We start from the raw sequence: 12,076 nt of genomic DNA, 5'->3' as shown, positions 1-12,076 counted from the left end.
ATTCACCAACACACTCCTATTTCAGAAGTTTTTCTTCCTGTTTTTCATTAAATAAAGTAGGTAAAAGGCCCCTGCCATAATGCATTAACCCCACCTCTGTGGACAAAGATGGTCAGGATGGGGTTTAGAATGCATTTACTTATGGGTCGTGGTTTTCCTTCCAATCTGGCTAACATCAGCTTAAGCTTCCTTAAGTAATTTCTTGGTCTTCCTAACTGGAGCTAGAAGTTTGAGATAAGCATGACAAACTGTTCTATTCTAAAAAAAAATTAGGGAACAATGCATATTACTACAACTAGTTTATTTTATTAAGAAATAAATTGCAGCCAGGCACAGTGGCTTGTGGCTGTAATCTCAGTACTTTGGGAAGCCAAGGTAGGTGGATTGCTTGAGCTCAAGAGTTCGAGACCAGCCTGGACAACATGGTGAAACCCTGTTTCTACCTCCCCCAGCTCAAAAAAAAAAAAAAAAAAAAAAAAAAAAAGCTGGGTGTGGTGGTGCACAACTGTAGTCTCATCTACCTGGAAGGCTGACCTCCCAAGCTTAGGCGATCCTGATGAGGCTGCACTGAGCCATGATCTTGCTGCTGCACTCCAGCCTGGGTGACAGAGTGATACCCTGTCTCAAAAACAAAAACAAAAAACTTAATTGCTTTCCAGGGTTCAAATGTAAACTACAGACAGGAGATTCCCATAACAACATATGAGGGCTTTAGGAAAAAACAAAACAAAAACAACCCTGGAAGATTTCAGGATAAATAGAAGACACGTTTTTCTACCAAACATACTTTCAAAAGTAGAAAATCATGGATTTAAAAACTTTTTTGTAGGGCTTGATATGTCTAAATGTATCAAGTTTCAAGTGTGCTAACTTTATGAACACTTGTCTCTGTCCTTAAATGCATAACATGATCTTAAATTTTTCAGATCTTTAGAAATGTTAAGCAATGCAAAGATTTCTACCCCATCTCCCTCCATATCTTTAAAAGCCAAAAACCACCTACCAAAACTCCATTACTGTTTGTGAATGAAGAATTTTCATGACTTGAAAACCTTCCTAATGTCCCATCGTTAACACTAACTTTTTTAGAAAGGAGGGCTCTTGTTGTGTTCTTTAACCTCTTTTCACATCATAAACTTCTTCATGGTTGACATCAGTACTATCCTCTTAAAAATTCAAATGTGAACTAACAGCATCATTTATTGAAGGCATATTATGTTAAAATTAGTGATTTTCCCAAGGACAAAATGTTAAGTAGAAAAGTCAGTACTCAGATTCAGGTGTGACTCCCAGGCCCAAGCATAGCCTGGAATGAATTAAGAAGGTCACCATATTAATTTTCATAAGGTGAAAGAAAACAAGCATTATATATTTTTCCACATCAGAAAATGTTGAAGACCTAAGAGACTCCAGTGGCTGGCTCTGAACCCTACAGCAAGACAGTGGCAGAGTTGGAATGGATTCCAGATGTCTTTGCGAACGATTAAGAAAGAGTTACTGAATAACTTTCCATTACTCTTAAAAAGTTACTCTTACCAAGTGTATTGAGAATTCGGAGATCTGAAGTAAGACAGAAATCTTTGTTTTCAGTTGTCTTTAAGCTTTTGCCAGTAACATGGTCCCAGTAGAAGAAAACATAAAACTGTAATCCTAATCAAATTTTGCAACATCAAATACTATTTCAATAGTTTCAAATACTATTCCAATATTGTTCCAGCAATATTCCAAATAATACTAAGAAATATTTTAAATGAATAAAGACTAACAATCTTCAAAAGTTTTACAGTTTTCTGTTTGTTTTATTTTGCCTACTGTGCAAAACATTAAATTATTTGTATGTAACAGCTGCTTATTCAAAACTTTGTTCTTACTCTGTTACTAGTTATATTAACAATATATCCCTCTTCTCTTTGGATCTTTGTAATAATGGAGTACAGTTATATGACTTACATGCCATTTATAATTTTCCCTGAAGAGTATTACCTGAAGCTCTTAGATTTAGTGAGGACATAAGTTTATCCTATTTTAAAGGGAGAAAATATGATATTGAGAAGTCACACCGGTGTATCAGCAATAACTGAGGTTTCAGACCTCTGTGTTTTGCAGTTTTGACACTGACAAATTCTAGAGATGGATTAAAAAAAACTATTACATCAATATGGTAAAGCAACTACTAATAGCAGGAACAATCAGTCTCTGTGAGGAAATATTTTCCTTGTTAAACATCTGGCCAACATGCAAGAGCTGCTAGACTATTTAAAAAAATTTTTTTATACAGAGCTACAGTTCTTAACTTTCTGCAGCCAAGCCACTTCAGCCCCTATGGCCAACCTACTTCACCCAAGCCACTTGTCAACACATATGTGTACATCCATGTGTGCAGAAGAACAGACAAATTCATATTTAGCTTTCAGATGAAAAGTATACCATTTTAAATGAAAGAGTTGGACTCAGAATAAGTTGTGTCAGAAGTTAAATGATAGAGACATATCATAAGTCTTGATACTTCAAGAGACTAAGTAATCACTTTAGAGGACCTTTCTGTGTGATACCTTTATTTAAGGATCACACTTTGAAAACTGTTACTCTACACTGATTGCCTGAGAAGTTCCTTTTACAGGCTGGCAGAGAAGCTTCCAAAAGAGTGTATGGCAGCGTTTTTCCTTCAAAGATTATTCTATTTCAGAATAGAATAAACTGAAAAATCCACAGAGTAACATTTAAAAATTCCATAATAACAGTCAAAATATTACATTTTTGTTTGTACTACAAAGGGAAAGATAGTCTGCATGGCCATCTATCCCAAAAGTTGTAAAGATCACTGGTCTAGAAAGCTAGCAGACCAGTGCCTTTAAATTAGGTTCTATCAGAAGATATTTTCTTGAAATCACTATGTCAGTATAGATAATTTGACCATCTGTTTCCTGAGTGTTACATAAACCTTCCTTACATCATATGTCAAAATAAAACATTCCAGTTCACTAACCTTTATGGGATTTCAATTCCACTTTCCCCAGTTGGCTGACATAAACATCTATGGCACCCTGATTAGTTGAGGCTTTTAGACATCCAGAAGACGAATCTAGGAAGAAGAAAAAACCATAAGTAAAATAATTCTTACTTGATAAATGGAATTACAAACTTAAAATAAAAGGCTCTGCTTTAGCATTAGGATAAGGGGCTAAGAATCTTGCAAGGTTTAGTATTTTCCTCATAACAATGCCATTGTTTGCACTTGAACGTAAACAGTATCAGAAACCTAGAAATCTATTAAACAACTAATTTAAAAATCTTTATCTATATTAACCTGAATAACTTATCTCTAAACATTTACTCTAAAACTTAATGAGTCGGAAGGAGAGTCTGCAAGTAATGGTTCCTTTGACCACTAAGCATCATTGATATATTTAGTTTTTTATCATGTTGATACATTTAGTAAACTTTCAATAATTACCAAAGAATTCTACCTCATGTATAGTCACATACAAGCAGTAGCAAGGCTGACAAAAATCAAAACCTCTCATAATTTCTCCTTGTAGCAAATTTGCTGATACTAAGAAGTGCTCCTAATAGTAAAAGATTACTCTACATAAAGTTGTCGCATTTCTTTTTTTCTTTTTTTTTTTTTTTTTAGAGACAGGGTCTTGCTATGCTGTCCAGGCTGGTCTCTGACTCCTGGGACCAAGCCATACTCCTGGGATTACAGGCACAAACCACTGTTCCTGGCTTGCTGCATTTCTTTAAGGGGCAGAAGGGCAGGGTGGAATAATTTGAAGAATAGCTTGTTTATATCTAATAGTTCTTTTCAAGTTTCTGGAATTGAACAGGTATCTTTAAGTGAGGATAAGAAAATAATAATTAAGGTAACCCTGATTTGTCATTCAAATTTCCCTATGTGGTCAATGACCCCACTTTTGAATCAACCAGTATCTCAAGTTCAAGGGAAAACAGTCAAAATAAGGAAGTAAGAAAATGAACTTGAAGAGTTAGTGCTAAGTGGTTTTTCCTTCTTCTCTTTCTCCCATGGCAATTGAATCTTTAATTTAATATTCTATCTGACTGCCTGGAGAAAGCCAAAGCATATTCTTTTTAGAGAGGCCTCTTAAAAAGCATATTTTATCAGGAGGTTTTATTACTTCAAAGTGGAAACAAAGTAGGGAGTGTGGTGAAAACTATGCCAAAAATTATACTGTTTACAAAACAGAGAGAGAAAACATTTGTGTGTGTGTGTGTGTATAGGAGCCAACATTTTTCTTTTAAAAAAATGTTAACTGACTTCAAACAAAGAGAGTAAATTTGGAATAAACTGTTTAAAATGCGGCTCCAAGATCATTTATAATAATTTATTTCCAATCTATACTGGAAAATGCCCTTTATCAGACTCAATTTATTTAGTTTTCAAGTGTCAAAAGTTAACACTGACGTTGGGAAATGAAACCACTAGAGATAAATGACACAGAATAGCTGGACAAAATGAACATTTCACTGCTTACGAACCAACAGAAACTCCTTTTTAAACCTCTTACCGCATCCTAAAAGAAGCCAAGTAAAAATTACATTATGCTAAAAAAAAGAAAAGTGTAATACACAAGGTGTGTATTATTCCAGTTTGAACAAAGTAAAATAGCTGAAACATTAGTGTGATTTCTCGCTTTCTCAAGGAGGGAAAAAAAACACACACAATTTTTATGTGGCTCATAAATAATACTTTCATTTATTTTTCCCTCCAAATGAGAAATAAATGACAGCTAAATAATTATATCCTAGGCCACAAAGTAATTATATCCTCATGTTATCTGTATTGATCTCTAATGATGGCTCATCCCTTGGAGGATGTTAAAAAATAAAAAAATGAAAACGCAAGATGTTTTCAAGAAAGAAGGCAAAGGTGATATTTTAAAACTATGCAGCAAAACAAGCCCTCCTATTTTTTTTGTTTAACACAAATTATCAGAACTAAAATTAATTATCAAGAGTAAAATTAAGGCTTCATCCACAGAATTTCATTCTTTTGGAGTTTACATAATGGAGAAATTCTATGGATCTGGGAGAAAGTCCTGTAGATCTAATGTATAGCACAGTGACTGTAATTAACAATACTGTACTGTAAACTTGATATTTGCTAAGAGAGTAAATCTTAAACATTTTCATCATACACATAAAATGGTAATGAGGTGAAGTGACAGATATGTTAACTAAACGGACTGTGGAAATTATTTCACAGTATATATGTATATCAAATCATTATATTGCATGTATACCTTAAATATATACGGTTTTGTCAATTATGTCTCAATAAAGTCAGCAAAAGCAAAAAAAAAAAACAAAAACAAAACACACCACAAAAGATACCAAAATAAATCTACATTGTAATGTGATTAGCTCAGTGCTTGGCACATGGGCACTGAGTAAATGATAGATATTTTAAAGAAAGGGCCAGGTGTGGTGGCTTATGCCTGTAATTCCAGCACTTTAGGAGGCTGAGGCAGGAGAACTGCTTGAAGCCAGGCATTTGAGACCAGTATGGGTAACAAAGTGAGACCTTGTCTCTATTTTTTAAAATAATAAACAAGTAAATAATGTTAAAAGAAAAATCAGTCAGTATAGTTGGTCATATTAATAAAAGAAAAATGATCATTTCAATAAATTCAGGAAATGTGTTTGACAAAATTCAACACTCATTCACGAACAAAGAAAGTAAAAAAAGAGAAACTTTTAAGCAAACAAGGAATAAAAGATTACTCTCCCAATCTGATAAAAGGCATCTGTTAAAAATCTATAGCTAACATCACACTTAATGCATTCCCCCTAATATTGGGGACAAGGATAGGGATCAAGTGCAAGGAATCACACTCTCATCACTACATTCAACATTATACTGAAGTTCATAGCTAGTCTGATAAGGCAAGAAAAAGAAAAGTAATAAAGATAGGAGGGAAAGAGGTAAAACTCTATTTGCAGTTGAAAATGTCTGCTCAGCTAGAAAAGGATTCTAGATTTGAGAAAACCACTATTAGAATAAATTTAGCAAGGTCACAAGATACAAGGTCCATTTATAAAAATCATTTGTATTTACATATATCAGCAGTAGACAATTAGAAGCAAAGTCTTAAAAACTGTCTCATTTGTAACAGTGTTAAAAACACAAATGAATTTAACAAAAAAATGTGCCAGATCTCTACACTGAAACTTACAAAGCAATGCTGAGAAAAATTAAAGAAGACCTAAATAAATGGAGAGAGCTACCTACCATGTTCATTAATTGGAAGATACAATGTGATTCAGTGCAATCCCAAACATAATCAAAACTGTATTTTTTGGTAGAAACTGACTGGAAAATCAAAGGACCTATTATATCCAAAGTAATCCTTAAAAGGAACAAATTTGGAAGACTTCAACTACCTGATTTACAGACTTACCAAAGATACAGTAATCATGATATTGTGGCACCGGCATAAGGCTCACCAAATAAATCAATGAATTAGGAACAAGAGATCAGACATTGAGCCACACTTATATAGTGATTTGATTTTAGACAAGGATGCTAAAGTAATCCATCAGAGAAAGGAAGTTTTTTCAACAAATGATGATATAAAAAAATTTTAAAACTGACAATAATAAATGTTGATGAGGATGTGGAGCAACTCAAATTCTCATACATTGTTGATGAGAGTATAAAGTGGAACTTTGGGAAAAGGTCTGGTAGTTTATCATAAAGTTAAACATAGAACCTACCTAGTCAACTCAGCAATGCCATACCTACGTATTTACCCAAGAGGAAAAATATATATACATCCATAAAATGACTTACATTAATATATTCATAGCAGCTTTATTTACAGTTGCCAAAAAATTAGAAATGGCCCAGGTGTCCATCAACAGTAGAATGAACAAATTAAGCCTTCTAATAGCCTGCTTTCACTTCTGAACCCTTCTGGTACATTATGAAATAACAGCTAGGTTGTTCTTTTAAAATATAAATTATATATCACTTCCCTAACATCCTGTTGTAGTTGGAATAAAGTCTGAACTCTTACCCTGTCTACAAGGTCCTAAGATCTAGCCTTACTTACCTCATATCCTACCACTTTCCTCATAAGCCAGCCTTCTTTCCCTTGAAAATAGTAAACTTCCATTTTCAAGGCCTGCACTTGCTGTTCCTCTATCTAGGGAGCCTGTATCCAGAATTTTATATAACTCTTTCTCATTTTTCTGGCTTTGGTTTAAATGTACCCTCTCCAGACCACCCCCAATTGCCTAACTGAAGTAGCTTTCTTTTTCCCCAATCTCTATTCAGTTACCCTTTCTTATTTCTTCATTGTACTTACCACAAACTAAAATTACCTTTTGTTATTTATGTGCTTGTTGTCTTTCTTCCCAGGGCTCAGAGAAGGTGAGGTCTCTGAGCACAGAAACTATGTCCTGTTGACCAATATGTTCCCTAGTACCTAAAAGAATTCTTAATACATGGCAGGTACTCAATAAATACATGTTGACTAACTAGTTATTGGTATTCACAAGGTTGTCTTCAAATGTTAACACATTTGGAGCCCAATAAACAGTGACATTATTTATATCTTTCTTTCAAGGACTTAATTTAGATATTTGAAGAATTCAAGAAATTTGTAAGATCTTTTTTTCTTTCTTTTCTTTTTTTTTTCTTCAGAGAAGTTTAGCAAGAAATATAAGACATTTCTTAATACCAGCTCAGGCGATTTTCTTCGAGTGGACATAATTAGTACATTGGTTCTGCCTATATTTGACTTGTGATCCTGTCAAGTTCATCAGTTAAACTGTAGAATTCATTTATTCTAATAAAGTCATCACAAATATACCCATTTTTAAAAGTGGACAAAATACACGAACTAGTAGCTTAGCACATACCTACTGTGATGTTACCCATCTTGCTTTGTAATGTTATATTACCTGCCAAAAAGAAAAAGATACTTTTATGTACTAGAGACAATCTAGAAAGGAACTGTGATACATAGCAATGCTAAAACATGGATGAATATCTACAATGTTATTTTTGTTGGCAATTTTTCCCAATATCACAAGTCCAGTCAAAGATTGAGCTGTAGTTCTGAAATAACTGGCTTAGGTATCTCTGCAAACCTTCTTTCTCTACTACCAAACCTTAAGCTTTTATAGCATAACTACAAATCACCATAACTGCTGGCACAGAGGAAAAACAATACTTCTAAAACCTGTAAGTGAAAAAAATTACTGAAATGTAGTCACTGTACATTTTCAACCTAAATATCAATGTATTTATCAGACCACACAAAGCGAAGTTTTCAACCAAGTAACACTAAAATATGGTATGGAAAAAAAGAATTACTTTTATTTTTCAGGCCACTTGCCATGTCTATTAAATTAAAAGTAGTTTCTGGGCCAAGAATTAAAGTGGTTTGAGATAGGAATAATGAATACATGGAGGTATGACTAACAAAACAGAACAAAGAAGCTTCAAAGATTTCCGTCTTAGTGAAAATATGTTTTCCATGATAAGGATGGAATATTGCAACCATTCTTCCCAGCCCCTTTCCCCTAACACCAAAAGTAGTAGGATTATTCTTCATATGTGTGTTTGTATGTGTAAGTATTCCTAGAATCAGGAACTCATATTTATTCTACTGAAAATATAAGCAATAATGTTATCTCTTCTAAAATAATTCCAAAACTACACTAAAAAGTAAAGGAATAACTTTGGCCTCAGAATTAATCTTCAGTAAACTCATTTTATCTCATTTCATATACCTTATGAATACTGACTTGTATCAGTATCTGGGAAAAACCAAAAAAAGGCACTGGATTCATTTACTCAATAGCCAGATGCGCCTAATTGCAAAAATCCATCTGAAGGTCTAATATACCATCATATTTCTTGTGAGTATATGAACAAGGAGTATATTTGTGTATGAATAAAAACTTGGTTTGTGTACTGAAGCTTATAAGATTACTAATTTTTTTTCATATTTTAGATTCAGGGGATACATGTGCAGGTTTGTTACCTGGGTATATTGTGTGATGTTGAAGTCTGGGGTACAAATGATCCCATCACCCAGGTACTAGGCATAGTACCCAATAGTTTTTCAACCCTTGCCCCGTCCCTCCATCCCCCATCTAGTAGACTCCAGTTTCTACTGTTGCCATCTTTATGTCCATAATTATCCAATGTTTACCCCCCACTTATAGGTAAGACCATGTGGTATTTGGTTTTCTATTCCTGTGTTAATTCGCTTAGGATAGTGGCTTCCAACTGCATCCATGCTGCTGCAAAGGATATAATTTCATTCTTCTTTATGGCCGCATAGTATTCCATGGTGTATATGTACCACATTCTCTTTATCCAGTCCACCACTGATGGGCACATAGGTTGATTCCATGTCTTTGCTATTGTGAATAGAGCTGCAGTGAATATGTTGAGTGCATGTGTCTTTTTGGAAGAATGATTTATTTTCTTTTGTGTATATATCCAGTAATGGAATTGCTGGGTTGAATGGTGGTTCTGTTTTAAGTTCTTTGAGAAATCTTCAAACTGCTTTCCACAGTGGCTGAACTAATTTACATTCCCACCAACAGTGTATGAGTGTTCCCCTTTCTCCACAGCCTCGCCAGCGTCTGTTGTTTTTTTACTTATTTTTAATAATAGCCATTCTGACTGGTGTGAGATGATATCTCATTGTGGTTTTGATTTGCATTTCTCTGATGACTAGTGATTTGGAACAGTTTTTCATGTTTGTTGGTTTCTTGTACGTCTTCTCTTGAGAAATGAGCAAAATGTCCTGTCTTTTGCTCATTTTTAATAGGGTTATTAGTTTTTTGCTTATTGATTTGTTTAACTTCCTTGAAGATTCAAAGGAACAAAGGATATTAAACCTTTGTCAGATACAGAGTTTGCAAATATTTTCTCCCATTCTGTAGGTTGTCTATTTACTCTGTTCATAATTTCTTTTGCAGTGCAGAAGCTCTTTCATTTAATTAGATCCCAATGAGGCAAGTCTAGGAGGACAGGAATCACATCTTTCTTATTTAGCTTCATACCTGGGAACTTTGCACAGTGCATAGTACATAGTAAACACAATTATTTTGTGAACAAATAAAAAGTTTGGAAAAGTAGGTAAAGAGCAACCTGTGGTAGAACCACAGAGTGCTAAGTCTACTGACTATCCTACACCAAAAAAGTTAGTGAAGAATTTCAAGATGAATAAAAATACAAGAAAACCATGCTTTAAGGAGATTCACCTAGTGTGAGACAGTGGGTGTTTCCATACTCAGCATTCTCTTTACTGCTTGTTGTGGTTTGAACGTTCCCACAAAAGTTCATGTGTTGGAAACTTAGTCCCCAGTGCAGCAATACTATGAGGTGGGACCTTTGGGAGGTAATTGGGTCATGAGGGCTCTACCCTCATGAATGGATTAACCCATTCATGAATCAATGGATTAATGGGTCATAGAGGGAGTGGGTTAGCTATTACAAGAGTGAGTCTGTTATAAGAGCCAGTGTGGGTGTCTCTCATGCAGCCTCTCTCCATGTGAGGCCTGTGCCACTTCATGACTCTGCAGAGCCCCTATCCGCAAGAAGGCTCTCACCAGATGCGGCTCCTAGACCTCAGACTTCTCAGCCTCCAGAACTGTAATATATAAGCTTTATAAATCACTCAGTCTCAGGTATTCTGTTATAGCAACAGAAAACAGACTAAGACACTGCTCTACCTCCTGAACAATAAAAGATAGACAGGTCCCTGATATTCGTAACTTTATTAATAAAGAACTATGATAAAGTTTTACAGTCATTTAGCTAGTGAATCCAGTCACCCACTCATCAAGGCAATGGAGCTTTATAGTTTTACACTAGTCTTTAATAATGCAGTAAAAATTTACAATTTTTTTTAAAATAAAAATATGGTCTTTCTCAAAAAGCCAATCATTAGTGCTTGTCATGAAAGTGAGGAGGTCTTGAGAAAACAATGATTCTTTGAACCAGAAAAATAGAAGTTTTAGATCTATACAAAATGAGGATTAGTTAATTATAGTGGGACCTATAGAGTCTCAGATAACATTCTTCTTGAATGTTTGAGTTCTACTGTATACTAAAAGCATAATGGAGCAACAACAACAAAAACCCATGGAATTAAGGAATCATTTCAAATACTGTCTAGTTGTAAGTAACACTTCAAAATATTTTTGTCAACTCTAAATAAAACAGTAAACAAAAACTTATTTTCAACTCATATCAAAATATTTAGAAAATCTCTACCTTAAACAGAAATATTCTAAAGTCATTAGAAAACACAAAATGGATTTCTTCCTTCAAATGCATAGTGGAATAAAGTAGTATATTTAAAAGTATACCAAGCAACAAAATGGGCATTATTAGCAAAATTTTCTATATTTTGATTCCACCTACTTCATCTCCAAACACTGAAAATAATAAATTAATTATTTGAGAGGAGTAAATCTTAGTAAAAGCTTCTTTCCAATAAAGCAGACACCAGATGGTCTGTAATAACTATGTGTGCTTACCCTACTCTCAAGTTATATAAGTTTTCCACAAATCCCAGTATTTGAGAAAATAGATAGTTTTTCTTAGCTTGTAACCTTTCATTCTAGCATGGTCAGAGGAAAAAAAAATGTAATCAATTTAAAGATAAACATTGGTTTATTTTTCTTCACCAAAAGAAATGTGATTATGGTTCAAGCACATAGAACTCTTAAAATCCAAACAGAGTAATCAAGTATCCTTAAAGATTAAGTCATTTTGTGGTTTTTGGTGGGTAGGGGTGGGGAGGTGGAAAGGGAGACACTTGTATTTGCAAGCCACAGTGCTAAATGCTAAGAATATAGAGATGAATAAAACATAATCTTTGTTCTTGAGGAATTTATAATTAGGCAAGGATTTATAGAAAACCAGAGATGAGGCAAGATGCTTTAGCTGAGTACTGAAAGATTAAAAAAGTCAACAAGATTTTTAAAAAGCTAGGAAAAGCATTTCAGGCAGAATATAAACAGTATGATCAGTATGATCAAAGGCTCTGATCAAGAACTCAGAGGTATAAAACAGGTAAAAATG

The 12,076-nt window shown here is 34.1% G+C and overlaps 1 protein-coding gene across 17 annotated transcripts in view; it reads right to left on the bottom strand.

Annotated features, from left to right (window-relative positions):
* FAM185A (family with sequence similarity 185 member A) overlaps positions 1 to 12,076 on the bottom strand; it is a 101,725-nt gene that overhangs the window by 70,389 nt on the left and 19,260 nt on the right. For 13 of the 17 annotated variants that reach the window (NR_146986.3, NR_146984.3, NR_146981.3 and 10 more), the window contains 2 exons: positions 7,885 to 7,926; positions 2,987 to 3,082 (listed from right to left, as the gene is read on the bottom strand). Coding sequence is in view for 3 of the 17 variants with exons in the window: in NM_001145268.2 (NP_001138740.2) it covers positions 2,987 to 3,082; positions 7,885 to 7,926 (138 nt within the window). In the remaining 14 variants the exon portion in view is untranslated. The remainder of the gene's footprint in view (positions 1 to 2,986; positions 3,083 to 7,884; positions 7,927 to 12,076) is intronic. The other 4 variants (NR_146982.3, NR_146985.2, NR_146983.2 and 1 more) reach the window with 1 other exon arrangement.

Source organism: Homo sapiens, chromosome 7 (genome assembly GCF_000001405.40).
Source record: "Homo sapiens chromosome 7, GRCh38.p14 Primary Assembly".
In the NCBI taxonomy this organism is placed as follows: domain Eukaryota; kingdom Metazoa; phylum Chordata; class Mammalia; order Primates; family Hominidae; genus Homo; species Homo sapiens.
Note: the sequence above shows the minus strand (reverse complement) of the source record. Positions and strands in the feature narration are given on the sequence as shown.